General features: G+C 38.3%; 1 pseudogene, besides 2 other annotated features; it reads left to right on the top strand.

Annotated features, from left to right (window-relative positions):
• Positions 10,590-10,689: an enhancer, noted in NCBI's record as "active region_16794". NCBI's record gives its function as "activates an Ori minimal core promoter by ATAC-STARR-seq in GM12878 lymphoblastoid cells {active_cell/tissue: GM12878}" and the evidence as "EXISTENCE:reporter gene assay evidence [ECO:0000049][PMID:35858748]".
• Positions 14,240-14,539: an enhancer, noted in NCBI's record as "active region_16793". NCBI's record gives its function as "activates an Ori minimal core promoter by ATAC-STARR-seq in GM12878 lymphoblastoid cells {active_cell/tissue: GM12878}" and the evidence as "EXISTENCE:reporter gene assay evidence [ECO:0000049][PMID:35858748]".
• Positions 16,349-16,454, top strand: RNU6-187P (RNA, U6 small nuclear 187, pseudogene; annotated as a pseudogene).

The raw sequence follows: 21,311 nt of genomic DNA, 5'->3' as shown, positions 1-21,311 counted from the left end.
AAATTTCTCTTCTGCACGTTCCTCACCTCTCTTAGCCTTTATAGAATTTGAAAAAGTTAAGGCCTTACTCAGATTAGGTATTGGCTTAAGGGAATGTTGTGGCTGGTTTGAGCTTCTATTCAGACCACTAAAACTTTCTCCCTATTAGCAATAAGTTTTGTGTTAGGCCGTTCTTGTGTTTCTATAAAGGAATACCTGAGGCTGGGAAATTTATAAAGAAAAGGGGTTTAATGGGCTCATGGTTCTGCAGGCTGTACAAGCATGGCACAAGCATCTGCTTCTGGTGAGGGCCTCAGGAAGCTTCCAATCATAGCAGAAGCCACGTGGAGCCAGCATATCCCATGGTGAGAGTGGGAGTAAGGGAGAGAGAAGGCGGGGGGCGGGGTCCCAGACTTTTAAACAACCAGATCCCACGTGAACTAACTGAGCAATAACTCACTTACAAGGGGATGGTGCTAAACCATTCATGAGGGATCCACCCCTCATGATCCAGTCGTCTCCTACCAGGCCCCACCTCCAACACTGGAAATCACGTTTTAACGTGAGATTTGGAGAGGACAAACATCCAAACTATATCAAGGCTGTTTGGCTCTCTTATCATTCGTATGTTCACTGGAGTAGCACTTTTAGTTTCCTTCAAGAACTTTTCCTTTGTGTTCACAACCTGGCCAACTGGCTGGTAGAAGAGGCCTAGCTTTCAGCCTTTCTTGGCTTTTGACATGCCTCCTTCACTAAGCTTAATTGGTTCTAGCTTTTGATTTAAAGAGAGAAACTTGTGACTCTTCCTTTCACTTAAACTCTTAGAGGTCATTTTAGGGTTATTAATTATCCTAATTTCAATATTGTTGTGTCTCAGGGAACAGAGAGGCCTGAGGAGAGTGAGAGAAGGGGGAACAGCCTGTGGGTGGAGCAGTCAGAACACATACAACATTTATTGATTAATTTTGCTATCTTATATGGAGCATGCTCCATGGTTCATGGTAGTACAAAACAACTACAATAGTAACATGAATGATCATCTAGCACAGATCACCATAACATAGTAATAATGAAAATATTTGAAATATTGCAAGAATTACCAAAATGTGACAAAGAGACACCAAGTGAGCATATGTTGTTGGTAAAATCGTGCCGATAGACTTGGTCAATGCAGGTTTGCCACAAATCTTCAATTTGTAGAAAATATAGTATCTGCAAAGCATGAGAAAGTGAAAGCAATAAAACAAGGTGCACCTGCACCTGCTGCGTTGCTGCACACCTGTGCCCTGGCTCTGGAACTTCTCCTAGAATTTTTGAGAACTCAGGTGTTCAACCCTTTCTCCTCTCTGATACTGTGCATTAAACTTGTGCTTGCATTAAACTCATGTCTCTTATCCTTGAGATGCATTTTTCCCTCAGGAGGTTTCACTTTCCCCATCAAATCTCCAAATGTTCCTCAATGTAGCCACAATCTTAATCTCAAGCTGGAAACTTTGAAGTAGCTAAACATTTGCAGTCATGAAATCCTGTGACTTTATTATTTTTATTCAGAGGATTCTTTGCCGATTAATTTTTTGCCTATTAATTTTTAAGTCATTAACTGAACTAGAAAATATTCTCCAGATTCTCCTGGCCCCTACTTGTGAGTGATTAGACACAACATCTATTTAAATCCTTCATTAAGTTGTCCTAAAGTCTAGGATTTGTTAGAGGAAAACAATAACTCAGTTCTACCAGAAAATCATAAAACTAATAAGTAGTTATTTACATGTGCATGAATCTTGATTGATTTTTTAACAGGTGTATATGGGTTCAGGATGTAAATTGAGCAGATTCTATCAATAACTACTTGGCATTTCAGAAATGAAATAAAATTTCCTATTAATAAATGCAAGCTTTGTTGCTATAACAAAACCCAAGTAATTGCAGGATCAATGATGAGGGTCTTATGCCTGCGAGTGAGACATATTTAGAGGTTATAAAGAAGACTTTAGTAGGAAATGTATAGGAGTATTTAACAAAGATTTGCAAAGATACAGCTTATTTTTTTCTGTTAAAGAATATCTTGGACAACCTCAAGACTAAATCATGTGGCAGTCTGATGCCATCAATAACGAATAGCAATTGTTATTCATACTCAGTTCCTTATCAGTCTCATGTATGTATAACCATGGCAGAATAGCCCATGATTACTCTTTCTTAAGAGTGATTATTTAGGTAATGGTTTGCTTTGTTTCCCTTTTTACCCCTCTCTCCACACCAGTTATCTCAACCTCACAGGATAAAGGAGGGACAAGTCCCACGACTGAAAGGGACTTGCTGTTTGGGAGTGGAGGGTGATGGATGGGTAGGGATACATGAAGCCCATCTTGAGGAGTTCTCTCCTTAGCACCGTAGACCATCATAGGCTGATTACTGGCACCTCAAGCCCTAGGCCCCCAGTGTGGACCTGTCCCCAATCTCAGGTTCCCTGATTCCCTATATGTCAGGCTCGGTGTGATCAAGTCTCTTCGCTCGTTTTCTGTTCATTCTGTGCTCTCACTCACTGGATCCTCACTTGCTGACTGCCTACTTGGACCTCTGAGGACCTGTTCTTTTCCTCCTGAGTGCATTAAAGCAGTTTATGACCTTCGTGTCTTAGCTCTCTGACTCTTCAATCTTAGAAGCACTTTTCTGATATATGACCTCCTTGGTCATGTCACCAAAAGGGAATTCTTCTGCTTGTACCTTAAGACTACACTCTGAGCATCTACTATTCAGCCCTGAGTGGCTTGTTAGACTCTGAGAATTACCTTATCACTCCAAGTTCTCTCAGCTGCTGCTTAAACCCTGCTGATGATGGTTTAGTTCTTATTACTCTGTTTTCATCTTGTCAGTGAGGTTAATTTCACTGGCTACATTACATGTAGGGTAAGCTGGATTTGGGGGTTAGGTTGCCTGAGTTTGAATCTTGTCTACTGGTTATTAGCTCTTAGGCCATGGACAGCTCACTGAAAGACTGTAAGCCTCAATTTTCTTACCTATAAAATGGGCTAATGATAGTATCAGCCTCATGAATGATTGTAAATATTCACTTAGGTAACATATGTGAATTTCACTGCACAGTGCCAGGCACATTGTAAATATCCATAAATGTAACTTATTATAATTATGAATAAATGATTGTGATACTGAAAGATTCACAGCTGCCCTTCAGAAAAGTCTGATCCCTGTGTTCTGCTGACTGTTAATATTTTATTATTATTGCATTCTTAAATTATAAGGTGATTTAGGAGGGAAAAACATGGCCTCTCTGCAAAAGAGTGAAAGCTTACAAATCTAGAGTAAAATAATAGTTTAATTTTTTGCACCTCTTCAATAACTGTCTCTTGTGTGGGTAATGTAATTACCAGTGGAAAAATGAGTAAGAACTCAAACTCAATAAATTACATTTTCATTGAATTTCTTTGCTTATATTCTAAGGGAATAGGACTTTGAATTTTGAAACACTTTTTTGCCACTTTATTTTTTAACTGCTAAGACATGACATAGTATGCATTTTAATGTATTCATTCATGTCCAGTTTCAACAAAACTGGGTGGGAATTAGTACCCCATAATTCATGCACTAGGGTGTCTTATTACAATTATAAAATTTTATTATAAAATGTTTTTTTAATATTTATATTGTTAATTAAATGATGATGAATCTTCATAAATTCTGAACAGAGAATTATGGTCCATTTGTCCCTGCTCAGACATATTAGCCAATCAGAATATTTGATTTCTCTTTCTAATATGTCTGGATGTTTGATGGTAAAGTGTGCAGATGTTGCTATCCTTTCCATGCCTCTGGCATCTCTGAAGAAAGACTCTCAAAGCAGTTTACCTGCATTGAGATTACTACAAGGTGGTCGTTTTCTTGGGGGAATTTTTGGAGCACTTGTGATTATTAAAAAATCAACACTCCTTTTGAGTTTCAGTTTCTAAAGAGATTTCTACACTAGAGAAGGTAATCATAAAACAGCATTTGTATCCGGATATAGGCATTTCTGCCCTCCTGCATATACATATATATATATAGTCACTAAAGCTGTTGTGATGAGACATTAAATGATGATATAATGATCACCTGAGCAGCAACAGAAAGGGAGATGAGAAACCCCGAGAATGATCTAGACCTGCACTGTCCAATAATGTAGCCACTAGCCACATGTGGCTATCAAGCACTTGAAATGTGGATGGTGTGACTGAAGAAATAAATTTTAAATTTTATTTACTTTAATTAATATTTAAATTTAGGCCAGGCATGGTGGCTAACGCCTGTAATCCCAGCACTTTGGGAGGCCAAGCCAGGTGAATCACGAGGTCAGGAGTGTAAGACCAGCCTGGCCAAGATGGTGAAACCCCATCTCTACTAGAAATACAAAAATTAGCCGGGCATGGTGGTGGGCGCCTGTAATCCCAGCTACTCCGGAGGCTGAGGCAGAGAATTGCTTGAACCTAGGAGGCAGAGGTTTCCATGAGCCGAGACCGTGTCACTGCACTCCAGCCTGGGGGACAGAATGAGACCCTGTCTCAAAAAAAAAAAAATAAATAAATAAAAATAAAAAAGATTTAAATAACGATTGAATTTTACAAAATTCAGTTCCTCAGTCACACTAGCTCCATTTTGTTAAAATAATTAATTGGGAGTTCATCAGACTGAGGCAACTCCAGCACCCCGGGATCTTACCTAAGCAAATTGAAACCCAACTCACTGTAAATGGTCATGTGCTAGGAAAATGAAACTTACATTTAATCAATGAGGAACCACCAACTAACTTCTAACTAGGGATTTCTGCTAGGTTGATTAAAATAAAGTTACTGCTCCACTTTAGCCAAACACAATTTTTTTTCTTTTTCTTTTTTGCCTCGCTTCTGAATTCACGTTATACAAATTTTCTCCTCAAGCCCCTTTTCCGAAGCCCTGAACTTCTAGTGGTCTGGTGCTGCCTGATTCATGAACTGCTATTTGCTCAAATAAACTCTTTAATATTTTAATGTGCCTCAGTTATCTCTTAGCAATTTTAATTGCCCAGTAATCATGTGTGCCTGGCTACTGGCTTTCAGACTGAGTAGTGCAGATACAGAACATTTCCATCGTCACAGAATGTTCTATTGGATAGCACTCATCTTCACAAGCAAGGGGAATGTTAAGAAGACGTAATTGTCTTTACTCTTTTGGTTCCACATTATCTTGTCTCCAGGCATTCTCAACACTGGAGAAATGCAGGATTCAGAAAAAGGGGGAGGGAATGACAACATAAAATTTAGAAATGAGCTTTGTGGTGGACAGTTGTAGCTAAAGCACTGGGAGAAGAAGCCGAGGAGGGTTCTATTGCAAGAGGGCTGCAACATCTTCCAGCCTCTGGGATGTTTGTTGCTGATTGTTGGAGTTGTGAATTTGGTGAAAGACTGCAATGGTAGCTGTATTAAAGAAGAGAAGGCCTGTCAAAAATAATGCCAGAGGTGGAAATGTTTTCATATTTTTCTCTCACACTATGCTTTTGCCTGGGAAGAAAAATCCTGGAACCCAAACATCATCTCAAGTTTATTTTTTTTTCTCAAACTTTAATGTGCATGTGAATCACTCGATAATATTGTTAAAAAGCAACTTCCTATTTAGTAGGTCTGCAGTGCAGCCTGCATTTCTGAGAAGCTCTCACATGATACAGATGATCAAGGACCACACTTTGAGTTGCAAGGCTCTAGAATGTCTAGAAACATTCAGAATTTCTGTATAAGCATTGTCCTAATTACTGGTTCAAACACAGCAGGTTACACCTTTCCAGAAACCAATGTGCCCTTAGTTTCAAACTCAGACTAGGGAAATTTGTCTGTGAGTAGGAGGTAGAGGAAGTCTGTTGTTTTTGGAGAAATGAGGCTCATTACCTCTAATCCCAAGACTGGTGTAAATATGTTCTGATGTACTCACGCGTAAGTATGGGAATATTTAAAAATTGAGGAGCACTGATCCATAGAAAAAATTCAGTCAAATTTATTACATAAACAAAAAGCAAGTCACATATGTGTTTCAGTATTGTTGTGATTATTTTTCTAACACTAAGCCTTTGAACAGAAAGCAGTTTCTATCTGATACTATGATTTAGAGCTAATTGGAGAAGGAATCAATTGTGGGTAGAGGCCAGCTATTGATCAGAAAAAGGAATGGGGAACTGGAATGTTTCTCAAATAGAGAAAAATTCAGAATTAGAAGCCAGAGTCAGGGAAATTGCTGTTTGGAAAAATACAATCAGGAGTTTTCATAAAATCTAGATGCACTGTGGGGCTTTTCAGCTCCTGATACAGATGGATGGGCTGGGAATATTAAGGAGCAGAGGATCTGGAAGGAATGAGGTATCTCTGTTCCTTGGTTAAGTACTGCCAAGCAAGCAGGGTCTGCAGATCAAGTGAAGCTGCCTGAAAGGATCGTTGAGCTGCAACAAAGTCTAAGGCTTCATTGTGTGTACATGCCAGGAAGATTTAGACATGAAACTACAAGTCCCTGCTCAGTTATTCCTGCTCTTACCAAGAGGAGAATCAAGACCAAGTTGAGTAGAAACCTAATGTTCCAGGCATCTACACGAGTTTCATGCCTTGCTTAGTTGTTTTTTAAATAAAGAGTTCAATGTTTATGGGAAAATCAAAATCAAGAGAAGTATGCCCTCTAGATTTCTCATTTATTCATGCTCATGGGAAGCTGAGATGTGTATTTGTTTTATTTGTTGCATAGCACTCAGTCCAGAAACCGTTTTCTATTTGGTGGCAATTACCTAAAATTACAGGAGTATGTCAGGGAGGAAATAAAGTGTCTAATGAATACTAGTCATAAAAACAACAAATAAAAAGGAAACAAAAGTATTTATATCTTAAAAGTTACAGCAAACAATTCAAAGAAGATAACGCTATAGAAAAGTATGTATTTCGTATTAAGATAGTAGTCTGGTTTTCTGGTTTAATAGAAAGAGGACTCCACTGCCAGTTAGAAGACCTATTGTCCACCATAAAAGAAAATCAACAACATTGAAGAGAGTTGATATACTGTATAAAGGATGTAACAAAACAAATGGCCTTAAATCTTTGCAGATTCTAACTCCATCTACTCTTCCATTTGTGGGAGCGGCTTGCTCAGATGTTACAATTTAGGTGTATGTGGTGCTGATCTAACTGTGACCCCTCAAGAGGAGGTAAAGGAGGTTCTGCAGCAGCTTCTGGGTTTCCACCTTCCCTGGACCTCCTTTTCTTCTCTTCTTTCTCTTTCTTCCTCAGGTAATTCCCAAATTCTCTGTCTTCCTCTCATATTAGCCCTACATTTTTCTTTTCCCCATTGCACTTATTTTACTATACTGTAAAATTACTTGTTACATTTCTTTTTCATTGTCTATTTCTCTCCCTCAGGTATATAAACTGCTTAACAGTAGGATTCTTTGTCTCCTCTCTTCACTGATGAATCCTGAGCATGTGAGCAGTACCAGGCACAGAACAGATGTCTGGTAAATGCCTGCTGAATGAATGAACAATGGTTTTCCCATGAGATGGGACCTGGGTGTCAGTGTTCTTATAGAGTACAGGTGGCAATGTGGCCTCGGTCTGATCACCCAGGGGACTGGTCACTTCTTTTGCCTTTTCTTTCTCAGCAAGGTGGTATTCATTTTTACACAGTCAGGGCATAGTGGGAGATGCTGATGTTTGATAGTTTGAGGATTAGCTTCAGCTCTTTCTTTTTCTTTTCTTTTTAAACACACAAACACTAAGCCACAGACTTGTACGTTTTTGTTTTCACTTTTGATTGTGTGTGTGTGTTTGAAAAAGAGAAACACATGGACACTTAACTTTTTTCCAACAGAATTCTTTAAGCAGAATCTGAATGAATACTATCTTGTTTTGTCCATAATTCACCATGTATCCTTATGCATGTCAAATCTGTTTCTGGGCCTCAGCTTTCTCAGTTATGACGTCCTGTTTCTTTTGTTCTTACATCTATTCTTTTGATATGTTTTTCTGTTTTCCCACTCCCCCTTTGACCTCTCCTTCCCCAACTTTCTATTTCCATATTCTCTATTACCTTCCAATTTCCACTGTGTCCCCAGTGGAGATTTATTTATTTATTTATTAAATTTTCCTTAAATTGAATGAGACTAATTTCTCACTATAGCATTTGGAACCTCCCCGCAGGTTTCCTGTGATACCTTGGATGTCATTAACATTGTAGGCTTACTTGCCAGCCCACTTCCTTCTGACTTCTGCTCCCATCACTCCATCAAAATGGCTCTTACCCAGGTCATCAGTTTCCTCTGTGTTGCTAAGTTTAGTGAATGCTTATTGGTCCTTACTTTTAAGACCTCCCAGTGTCTATAACACTGTTAACCTGCCTTTCCTTTGGTTTCTATGATGAGAGCTCCTTTTCCTGGATTTCTTCCCACCACGTGGACCTTTACTTCCCAGTCTTTCAAATCTGTATCCTTTATTAGACTTCTATTCTGAGCTCTAGACATGCATATCACACAGCCAATTTGACATTCAAACTTGGATGCCTTTCTAATATTCATCAATTAACATGCCCCAAACTGAACTTTGGACCTCCTACATGGTTCTCTATTTCTCACAGTGTTACTAATATCCACTTAATTGCCTAAACTAGAAACTGGAGTATGACCCTTGATTCTTCCCTCTCCATTACCCATTACCTTTCATATCCAATCAACTACCAAATCCTATCCAGTCTTCTCGAATCTGATTACTTCTCTTTATCTCCACTGCCAAGACTTTAGTCAAAGTCACCATCATCTCTCAATTGAATGCCTGAGAATTCTCTCTAACTTATGCCTCTGTCTCCAGTCTAGCCCCTATCCAATATATAGCCAATTCTTGTTATTCATGTAGTTATGTTCTATAAAGTATCTGCAAACACTGAATTAGCTAATACTGAATTATGAAAAAAAATGTGGTTGGGTTTGTGCAAGCCTCTGGTCAACATTTTCAACTGATCAATATATATGCTTATTTAATGTGTGCTTCCTTAAAGATGTCTTATTTAATATATATTGTTGATTCATGAACACTGCACTCATGGCCAACGGCACCATAACTCATGCCTGAAAGAAACTTATCTGACACATGAACTTTCTTTATAAGGCACATCACAGCCTTGTTGCTCTTGTGAACATTAGACAGCACTTTAGCACTGTGTTTAGGGGTCATTTAAAGAGTGAAATCACCAATACAAAGCACAAAAATGTGAAGAAATGTGATACTAAACAGACCACAAAAAGAACACTTTACAGTATGAGACTGGAGACACAAAGGCAGACTGTTACCTTGTTCAATTTCAACTGAAAAGGTGCTTTCTGGGCAACTTAAACTTTTTGTCAAAAGATCTTGAAAGTGCCATGAGTGTTGATTTGGGGGTAACAAGTAAATGTTAGTGAGTAGGAAACTTTGCAAATATGGAATCTGCAAATAATGAGGAGTGACTGTAGTATTAACTTGTACCCTAAACTATTGCACTTAAACCCAAACCTCATGTCACTCTTCTGGGTGAAACCTTTAAATGACTGCACATCACCATTAGGGTTAAGTCCAAACCCCTAAATATGCCCCGCTCCTGTCTTTTCATTCTCATCTCTTATAGATCCCTCCTTCATGCTTTCTCATCAAACTGAAGTTTTCTCAATTTTTTATTCAATTCAGTATCAATCCTCTCCAACCTTTGAGCCCTTATAGAGCTTTTTCTTCTTCCTTCCTCCTTTCTCAGCTTCCTGTTTTGTATTTTCACGTTTTAATTTGTTACTTCTTCCTAAAGCTATCTCCATACTTCATAGACAAGATCTCCTGCCTCATGCTCTTGCCACATGTTTGTCTGACGACGTAACATTTATCACAGTTTTTGGGGGTAGCTGTCTGACTTTCTTACAAGATTACACATTGAGCAGGAACCAAGTCTACCCTTTTTATTGTTTGTGCTATACTGTACAGTAAGCACTGTACCTAGAACATAATAGGCACAGTGTGTGTTGAATGAAGGCAGGAATGAGTATTCATTTTGGTGTCTGTTTCATCAAAATAGTTATAAGCACTTTGAAAACAAAGAGAGGATATTTTCCTCTTTGTATCCAAATTGCCTGGCACAATGCCTACCCATAGTACATGCTTGATACATATCTATTGCATGAAAACAACACTTTAAACATGTCAAATAGTGTACAACCTGATTATAGGCAAAATAGTGCTTGATAGTAATTGAGCATTGAGTTTCTTATGAAAATTCTTTGCAAAATAAAAAGATTCTCAAAATAGAGTGAAACTACTTCCATAAAACAGATTGGAAATATTCCCACTACCCCATACTATGAGCAGAAAAGTGCCAGACATTCCCCAGGCCCCTGGGCAAGTGCTTACACACCTCTAGGGCAACCCTGCCCTTCTTCAAAGCACAACCATTGAGTTAGAATAGTGAAGCAGTTAGCAGATGAAAACCATGCTTTATTAAAAAGAAAAAAAGGAAAAAAAAAAGAGGATGTGAAAGGTAAAGCAGGCTGGCCAGTTCATTATAATTGCTTACTATTTCCCTATTGCATCTTAAAAACGTTAAATTTCAAGGGGCAGCTTTTTAATTTGGTGTAATTTTCTGAGGCAGCACTGAACATAAAGATTGCTCAGAGGACCCAGTTTCCCGCCAACTCTGGCTGATACTGAGGAGCCATGTGCAAGTGTCTGAGTTCAAATTTAACTTAAATCATTGAAAAACAAAAACAAAAACAAAACAAAAACAAAAAAACCAGGCGGCGTTGAGCTTCACCATGAGCAAAAGCTGTTCTGCTTTCCCAGTGGGGGATCACTGCACAGCAAGTGGGAAGAAATCAGAATACCTGCCGTGGGGATTTGAGAGGGAAATTGATTGCACACATTTAAATAGATGGGGTGAAGATTTTTCCCTGACAGTAAAACCCATGAATCCTAAGATGAAGAATTTAAGAACAAATGCTTTCAGGTGGACACTGAGAAGAACTGTGAACTTTCTTTTAACCTCCTCAATCAGGTTATCTTGGGTGCAAGCCAGGAAGTTTCCCAAACTATTGGGATAACTGTAAGTTCAGGGCAAAAGGTGATGCTGAATCCCTGCTGTGTGGATTGGTAACTCTGCCGTTTGCAGCAGAGACTGCCTCTTCCAGAGGGAACTCATCTGGAAGGCTGTGGAATCTTGGCTCTGGCCCCACTCATTTATTGGTCAGCTGGAGAAGGTGATGGAAAATGTGCCTTGGGAAAACACAGATGGGTATGTGAACCGACGACGTTGTGCTTAACCCTTCCTGGCCTAATAAGCGAGTGGTTCTCACAACGTGGTCCTAGAAGCAGCATCAGCACCACCCAGGCACGTGTGAGAACTGCACATTCTCAGGCCCAGGCTGATCCCAGATGAATTGAATCAGGAACTCCTGGAGGTGGGGCCCAGCAATGTGTGTTTTAAGAAGCCCTCTAGGTGATTCTGGGCACACCAAAATTGGACAACTTCTCACCTAAAACCCTGAGAGAACATGAGGAAGATTGTTCACCCAAAAGAATACAACTGTAACTTGGAATCAATCTGGCACTCATGTTAATAAAGATGGGAAAAGACAGATGGTCACTTTTTTGGAAGAGATTTGGCAACATCGGCATCATCATAAATATCAGGTAGTATTTGAAAAGGTCAGTATACTAGTAACCTGTTGCTCTAAAATTGGCACATAGTGAACAGCCACAGCATCTCAGTGACATGTAACAGTAGACGGGTTTTCTTCTGTATCTGCAAGGACGGGTTTTCTTCTATATCTTATCGCCTAAGCTCCCTCTTGAGTCTCAGTGCTGGTTCACCTAGTTTGGGCTTATGTGGAGTGACTGCTTTGTTCCACACGTCTGTCCTCCTTTCCCTGTGACCACCGGTAACACAGGCGTGTCCTCTTCATGGTAATGGCAGAAATAGGAGAGAACAAGCAGAAAGCGGGACCTCAAGGCCTGGGCCTGGAGCTGGAACATCTGTCCGATCCATCTCATTCTATTGGCCCAAGCAAGTCATGTGTCCAAGCCCAGATGGAAAACAGATTTGCCTCTGTAGTGAAAGCAACTGCAAAGTCATAGGGCAAAGGGCGTGGCTATAGGTAGGGGTACAGGATGGGGGCCTGTTATGCAATCAACCATAGTGAACAAGTTTCTCTTTGCATTATTAACAGTATATGCACAACAAAACCCAAATGTGAATTTGACTTAACAGGAAAAAAAATGTATCCTTCATTCTTGTCCCTAAAATAATACTAATTTTAGTTGGATCAACTGTGTGATTCTCAATGAAGATATGTTAAGTCAGATTAATCATGTAAATAATTAGCAGAAGAATAAAAGAAAAAGTCATTGTTTTTAAAAACTCTGAATAAATTGATATATTTAAGCCACTTTGTTTCTCAATAGTATATCAAATCCAATTCTTAAAAACAAACCTGTGGGGGCTGGGTGTGGTGGCTCACACCTGGAATCCCAGCACTTTGGCAGGTGGATCACTTGAGGTCAGGAGTTCGAGACCAGCCTGGCCAACATGGCAAAACCCTGTCTCTACTAAAAATACAAAAATTAGCCAGGCATGGTAGTGCACGTCTGTAGTCCCAGTTACTCAGGAGGCTGAAGCAGGAGAATTGCTTGAACCCGGGAGGCAGAGGTTGCAGTGAGCCGAGATCACGTCACTATACTCCAACCTGGGCAACAGAGCGAGAATCTGTCTCCAAAAACCCAAAAGCAAACAAACCCATGGATCAGATCTTACCTACCATGGATTTTCATTGGTAAATAAACTCTTGGTATTCTGTATCTGCAAGGAGTCATCTGATATGCATGTCTGTTTGTTAAACTAGATTTTACTACAGCTTTTTGGGGTTGGTTTAAAGACTGTATTAGCACTGCATTCCTAATTAACTGCTGACACAAATACTAAGGGGGCAAGAGTGTTGCCCACAGCTTGCCTGCAGTTACCAGGTGTAATTATGCACATAGTAGAGATTCAAATCAAGAATAAATCAGTTTCTGGAAACATGCTGTAAGCACTCAGTGTATCGCCCTGCCATTTCCCCCGTTAGCGTTTTTGAGGCATGCACCCAATAGAAGAAATAGCAGGTAGCTACTGTTTAGCTGAATTTAACCTCTGAAGATAAGCATTTCTCCATGTTGTTGGCCAAACATAGAATTTTCTTTTTGCTTTTCACATGTAATGGGAATACAATGATTTCTTCTCATTGCCAAATCTTAGCTGAAGGAAACCTCAGATAATTTTGAAAACTCTCTTATTTTACCAGTTAACAGACATGGCCTAAAACAGTGATATAACTGTTTAAAGTCATCCAATTGGTTAGGGAGGGCTAACCAGAGAAGCTAGGTTTTTCTCACCACACTACACTTTTCATTTGGGAAACGGGGAGTGTTCATGGTTTGATGAATCAAGTACAGTGTAGGGAGCAGACTGTTATGGTCTGTAGACATAAGTGGGATTCAATTTTCTTGTTTGTTGAATGAGAATTATGCTTGTTATGTTATTAGAATGTTTGGGTCAGGAGCAAGTTCTTTTCAAAATAAATAATTTTATTTTGGAGAAATAAAGCAATCTGGGGAAAATTGCCACTGGCCAGTCCTTTTAAATCAATTCACAGGGTCAGTAGACTCTAGTACCGAGGTTGGATATGCTAAGGATAGAGCGAGAGAAAGAGCTCAGTGACTTTTTCAACAACTAGAGTTACTTGCTTAATTATACTTTTTTTTTTTTTAAAAAAGACCTTCGAGGTACAGTATGAGCAGGGAGTAGGGTGAGGACTTCCCTCAGCACCCATCACCAAGTACTCTCAGGGCACCAGCAGGCCCCCATGAAATAGGTGCTGCCAGAAGCCCATGCCTAAAATTTGCTTGGGATTCATCTCTTCCCTTTCTTTTTTATGATGCTGAACCAGAGGATAAAAAGATAAAGAATTGCACAGCCTGGCACGTGAATGCTTCCCCACTGCGTGCTGCTGTTGTGGGGAGGAAGTAGCAGCCGCCAACCGCTGTTTTATTAATAATGAGGCATTCACATAAATTCCATGCAAAATTGATTTTTGACTGTTATATAAGAATCAAATACTAGGCTTTAAAAAGTAATTGAGAAATCTATTTGTAATTTACTTTGCCTATAAGAACCCGCTGTCCTGCCATAAACAATTTTACAGTATTTTCCCCCCTGTTAAACAGCTATTTTTTACACATCTGTTTGGCCCTTTTGCACGACATGCAGTCAGGAGGTGTAACGAATACAGGTTTGAAACAACATGTGGCCACCATTTCTTTCAGTTTCATCTTCAAGGGGATCTCTTGAAAGTTGTGATATCATTTTCATCACAGTACAAGTGAAGTATGTTAATGGCTAGTTATCTGACACTGGGTGTTGACTGATGAGTCATAAATATGCCTTCTGGTGGTAGGAAAGCATGATGACAAAGCTAAGTAATGAAAAAAAAAAGAAAAAAAAACCCAAACCAACGAACCAAAACAGTCTGTTTCTCACTTGTCTTTAAATGCCTTAAGGGCTATGGTCAAATGGAAAGTTCTGTTACAAAGAGTTTCTCTGGGAACCTATTCAATATTCAGCAGTCCTGTACATATTCAACTGTACCAAAAGTATTTAAAGTGTAATTGATTTATTTCTAATTTTTCTTAAGATGGAAATTAGATGGACAAGAAAAGTTTTAAAAGACATAGGTAATGTTACATATTTTGGCTTAACTTCTATTTTCTAAGGATTATTTCTCAGAAGAGAACATGCTTCTGTTCTTATTCTAGGACTTTTTTTTTTTCCAAAAGAAATCCCTTAAAAAGAAAAACAAATCCCTAGTATATTTAAAAAATCCATTCCCCACCATGATCAAATTAGAACATTTCCATCACCCTAGAAGTTCCCTTGTGCTCCTACAGTCAATATATTCCCCCAGCTCTTGGCCCCAGCCAACCAACTACTGATCTGCTTTTTGTTGCTATGGTTTTGCCTTTCCTAGAATTTCATACAGACAGAATCATAGTATGTAGCCCTTTGTGTTTACCTTTTTTCACTTAGCATAATATTTTTGAGATTCACCTATGTTGTCGAGAGTACTAATATTTTGTTGCTTTTATAGTAATACTCCATTGGATATACCACAATTTGTTTATCCATTCACTGGTTAATAGATACTTGGGTTGCTTTCAGTTTTGACGATTATGAATAATGCTGCTATAAACATTGATGTAAAAGTTTTGCGTGGACACATTTTTATCTCTCTTGGGTAAATATCTAGGATAAAGATTGCTGGGTCACATGGCTTGTATATGTTTAACTATATAAGAAATAGTACCATTTTATACTGTCACACAGTCAATGTATGAGAGTTCAAGTTGTCCTACCTCTTCACCCATCCTTGATATTCTCAAGTGCGTAGTAAGTAGCTCATTATGGTTCTAATTGACATTTCCCTCATAATTTGTGATGTAGATCATCTTTTCATGTGCTTATTGGAATTTGTATAACTTCTTTTGTAAAGAGTCTCTTCAAATCTTTTCCCCATTTTATTGGGCTCTTGCCTTCTTAAGTTGTAAATATCTTTTATATATTCTGGATACAAGCCTTTTTGTCAGATATGTTTTTCATATCTATTATTTCAGTCCGGCTTGCCTTTTTTAACACTTTTTTCTGAAGAGCAAAAGCTTTTACTTTTGAAAATGTTTATAAATATTTTTCCTTATGAGTTGTACTTTTGGTGTCCTGTTTAAAAATGCCTTTCCTAACTGTTGTTACAAATATTTTCTCTTATATTTTCTTCCAGAAATGTAATAGTGTTAGCTCTTACTGTTTAGGCCTATGATGTATTTTGTGTTAGCTTTTAAAATATGTTGTAAGGTTGTTTTTTTCCCCTCTAGATATTTAGTTGTTGCAGCACTATTTTGCTGATTTTCCAATTTAGTTATGTTCACATCTTTGTCAAAAATCAACCATATAACTTTGGATTTATTTCTGGACTCTCTATTCTGTTCCATGAATCTATAGGTCTATCCTTGCCTCAGTGCCGCACTGTCTTGACGATCGTAGCTTTCTTGTAAGTCTTAGAATCAAGTAGGATAATAAATCCTTTATTATTCTTTTTCTAATTATTTTGGCTATTCTAGGTCCTTTCCATTTCCATATACATTTTAGCATCTGCTTTTCAATTTCTTCAAAGAAACCTGCTAGGATTTTGATTGAGATTGCATTGAATTTACAAATCAATTTAGGAAGAATTTATTTAAAAAATTAAATATATTTTAAATGACTACTAAAATTATAAACACGTGTGCTTGCTTCAGCAGCACATATACTAAAATTGGAATAATACAGAGAAGATTAGCATGTCCCCTGTGCAAGAATGACATGGAATTCGTGAAGCATTCCGTATTTTTAAAAGCTCAATATTACTGATTGTTAGATAAATGCAAATCAAAGCCACAATTAAATACCATCTCATGCCAATCAGAATGGCTATGATTAAAAAGTCAAAGAATAACAGATGCTGGTGAGGTTGTGGAGAAAAGGGAACACTTATACACTGTTGGTGGGAGTATAAATTAGTTCAACCATTGTGGAAAAAGCAATGTGGCAATTCCTGAAAGAGCTAAAAGGAGAACTACCTTTTGACCTAGCAATCCCATTACTGAGTTTATACCCAGAGGAATGTAAATCATTCTACCATAAAGACACATGCATGTGAATGTTCATTGCAGCACTATTCAGAATAGCAAAGACATGGAATCAAACTAAATGCCCATCAGTGACAGATTGGATGAAGAATGTGGCACATATATACCATAGAATACTATGCAGCCATAAAAAAGAATGAGATCATGTCTTTTGTGGGAACATGGATGGAACTGGAGGCCGTTATCCTTAGCAAATTAATGCAAGAACAGAAAACGAAATACTGCATTTTCTTACTTATAAGTGGTAGCTAAGTGATTGAGAACTCATGGGCACAAAGAGGGGAACAAGAGACACTGAGGCCTACTTGAGGGTGGAGGCTGGGAGGAGGTGAGGAGCAGAAAAAAAAAAACTGTGTATTAGGCTTAATACCTGGGTGATAAAATAATCTGTACAACAAACTCCCATGACATGAGTTTACCTATGTAAAAAACCTGCACATGTACCCCAACTTAAAAGTTAAAAAATACAACATGCACACTAAAACGTGACACATACCAATTTTTAACACACTGTGGATAATTAACATGTCAACTTGTGCAAGCAGGTAAACTAGGTTTTTAGTGCAAACAGAATAAAGCTTTTTTTTTGTCATCTGTTTTATCAAGGTGTGGCTGGACATCACAAACTGCTTTTAGAAAACTATTACTGTTTGCATCTGTTAATATATGTGAATTATGATAGTCTCAATTCTATGCAATCTAAACAAAATACAGCAATCAGTTGGAAGCAGGAGTTAATACGTCTGTTGCAACTGTGTTTATCAAGACTGCTTCATGGCCCGGCATGGTGGCTCACGCCTGTAATCCCAGCGCTTTGGGAGGCTGAGGTGGGCGGATCACGAAGTCAGGAGATCGAGACCATCCTGGCTAACACGGTGAAACCCCGTCTCTATTAAAAATACAAAAAATTAGCTGGGTGTGGTGGTGGGTGCCTGTAGTCCCAGCTACTCGGGAGGCTGAGGCAGGAGAATGGCGCGAACCCCGGAGTCGGAGCTTGCAGTGAGCCGAGATCGCGCCACTGTACTCCAGCCTGGGCGACAGAGCGAGACTGTCTCAAAAAAAAAAAAAAAAAAAAAAAAGACTGCTTCATTATTCATTGACTTTATAGTAAGTATATGTAGAAATTTGAATGCTCACAAATTTATACTAATAAAAACTTCTTCAAGATGTTTTATGTATTTCAACTGCATATCTATTATTGCAATCTGGCTTGCCTTTCTAAACAGGATTTTTTTTCTGAACAGCAAAAGCTTTTAATTTTGAAAAAGTTTATATATATATATTTTAGAATTTCAAGGTTTTATGTAAAATTCTAACAAGTTAGAGGTATTGCAATTTAGCAGAAAGAAAATAGGTTTGGAACAGCAGAGACCTGAGTTTAAATGGCAGCTCTATCTACAAGTAGCTTGGGCAAATTATCTGTTTCTGGGCCCAGTTTGCCTATCTGTAAAATGGGGAGAATAATGCCTGCTTCACAGGGGGGATGCAATGAAGTATTACATGCAAACACTTGGTATGTGCATAGCTGATGTATATGAAGGAATGGTGTTAGAAAAGTGGGTTTGGAGTCTGGCAAAAATTTTGAAGGACCTGATGAATGTTGAAATAGATTGAAATGTGAGGAAGGAAGTTTGCTTCTTTTACATATGGCTTACCTGTGGTGGTGTGCCTTCTCTGTCCACAGGTCCTTAATAGCAACTTAACATACATTTGTAGACGCTCAGGGTGAAGACCACTATGTCACCAAGCAATGTTCTGGTGGAAACTTCTGAAATTGAATGGACAATGCCAACTCTAAATGACTTTCCATAGGCAGTTTGAAAGCCCTCATTTCTTGGAAGCTTTCAGTAAGTGAGGGGCTTGTAGTGCAGAGTATTCTTTTCCAAGTAGTCCAGGAGGCATTGGCTTTGGCTGCACTTGGACATTGTTTTGCTTACTCCTCTGACTGTTGCTTTACTTCTGAGTCTCTCCTCTTTATTCCCATTTGGCACAGGCAGGTCAGTAAAGTCAGTCTTGTGAACACTGTAAGTGCCTGCTGGTCATCAATGCTTGCCTTTCAGCGGCTCACTCTCCACAGCCCCAGTGCCCTTGGAATGGGTGCTTAGTGAGACAATGAAATGAACAGGCATTGGGAGGCAGGAGCCCCAGATCTGTCATTTGTCCGTGAACTTGGACCAGTTCCCACATTTCAGTTTCTGCTTGATAAAATGCCTGACCTACTCAAGGGGCTACCATGGGGCACTGTATGAGAAATAGCATGGGGAATGTGCTTTGTAAATTGGGAAGTGATATATAAATCTTTGGGGTTGCTGTAATAGGACGCACCTGATATCACTGTCCTTTTGTTACATTTCCTTCTGCCACAAGAAGTTTAGTCGCATCTAAATTCTCTGACTTGAATAGAATTGGAATGAGGGTGGTGATGACTACAAACACAAACAAAAAAGTGGAATCATAGACTCCTGGAGTTGGACAGGATCCCAGTGGTCATCTATTTAAAAATCTATCTATAGAAAAAAGTAAGCATGGATCTCAAAGCCCCAGGGAAGGGAAAACCAGGCTTCCTATTGACACCTTATCTGTATCAGAGATGCACATATTTTATAGTTTATAGTTGAGGGACTCTAGGCTAAAAGACTTGCAGATGAGTTGAGGCACAAAAGATTCTGGAAAGAATTGGAATATTTTGGTCTCTGGTAAGTTAACAGAAAGCAAACAAAAAATCATTCCAAGGTAAGGTGAAAAATGTATATTTCTAATTTTTAATAGAAGTATGTCTGATGCTTTATTATTTAAGGTGAACAGTGTTTAGAGTTTTCAGGCACTGTTGCAAATAAAAAGTTAAAAAATCCTGGATGGATGAGACAAGCTGAATTTTACTGATTTGTTTTTTGATTGCCATTTTATTTAGTTATTTTACTGGTTTACTGCGTTTTGCTGATTCATATACTGGTTTGTTTATTAACTGTCAAATTGCTATCCCTATAAATTTAGCATATAAATGATGAATAGCTAAATAAAATGTGGTATATCCATACAATGGAATATTATTTAGCCATAAAAAGGACTGAAGTATGGATACATGCTACAACATGAATGAGGTTTTAAAACATTATGCTAAGTAAGAGCAGTCACAGAGAGCCATATATTGTATGATTCAATTTATAGGAAATGTCTAGAAGAGGTAAACCACAGAAACAGAAAATAGATCAGTGATCACCAGGGGCTTGAGGGAGCCAGTCATGGCCCCTTTTGGAGTGGTGAAAATGTTCTAAAATTGGATAATACTGATGGTGGTGCATCCTCATTAGTATACTAAAAAGTCATTAAATGGTATACTTTAAAAGTGTGAAGTTTATGGTATGTGAATTATATTTCAATTTCAACAATGGAAAAGAAATACATTATATTATGGTTATTTAAATTAAAAAACTCTATCTCAACAAAATTCTAATTTTAGGTAGGAAATTAGGAATATAACTTTTTAAAATAATCTGTACCATGGATGAAGAACATTGATGGTGTAACTGAAAGGAACACTGGTCTTGGCAAGTGGCATGATCTTGAGCAAATCACTGAACTTCTCTTAGCCTTGGTTGTCTATAAAATACGGACAGTAATTCCTTTCTAATGCTGTCAGGGAGTTAATGTGAAATAATAACAATAGTATGTATTTAATGAGTTTCCATCATCTACCAGGCACTATTCCTGGCATTTTACATGTATTATTGCATTTTTCTTATGAAGCATTATTGTTATCCCAATTTTACAGGTAAAAAAATGAAATACTGTGTGTAAAATTGCTATACAATTGGAAGACATGAATATATTATTTCACAGCATCATTAAAAATATTTTTTCAGTTTATTAAAGTGATTATGTGTGCATTAGAAAAAAATGAGGAAATATAAAAAGCTACAAGAAAATTAAAACCAACTCATAAACCTAACAAAACAGTAATATTTTGTATATTCTCTTCCAGTTTTAAAAAGTATGTGTATATGTAAACATATATGTGTATATATATTTAAATTAGTTGCATATCATAAATACAATATTGTATTCTGCTTTTTAGAATGATTTTAGTAACTGAGTATGGATGTACTCTCTTAAGCTGTGTGCTGAGGCCAGCAGCTGGTTTAAATAAGGTGCAGTGGATTCTGCTGTCATCTAGAAGTTCTCTATGTCCTAGCTAAAATGACCCTGATTTTGTTCAGATGTGTGGAAACGACTTGTTCAGTGAGGATGGGCATCCTCTCACCTTAGGAGGAGGAAGCTGGACTGATCAAAGCCCTGCGTCTGGGCTGCCCATGATTCATTTCCCAGCCAGTCATGACGATCCCATTCTTCTTGGCCTGCAAGTAGTTTAGGGGTTAGCAAGTGACACAGTTCTGCCAATGAGACATAAAACAGTCTGTTAGGGACTTTTGGAAAAGATTTTTCTTCTGCTAAGGAGAGAGAAGCATGGGGCAAAAACCTCCTTCTGTTGGAAATGCCAGCCCTGCCTCCCTGCCACTGGCTCCTGGGCTCTCTGGTCATCTTTCCGGTGTGAGGGAAAGC

This window comes from Homo sapiens, chromosome 2 (genome assembly GCF_000001405.40).
Source record: "Homo sapiens chromosome 2, GRCh38.p14 Primary Assembly".
Lineage (NCBI taxonomy): Eukaryota > Metazoa > Chordata > Mammalia > Primates > Hominidae > Homo > Homo sapiens.
Note: the sequence above shows the minus strand (reverse complement) of the source record. Positions and strands in the feature narration are given on the sequence as shown.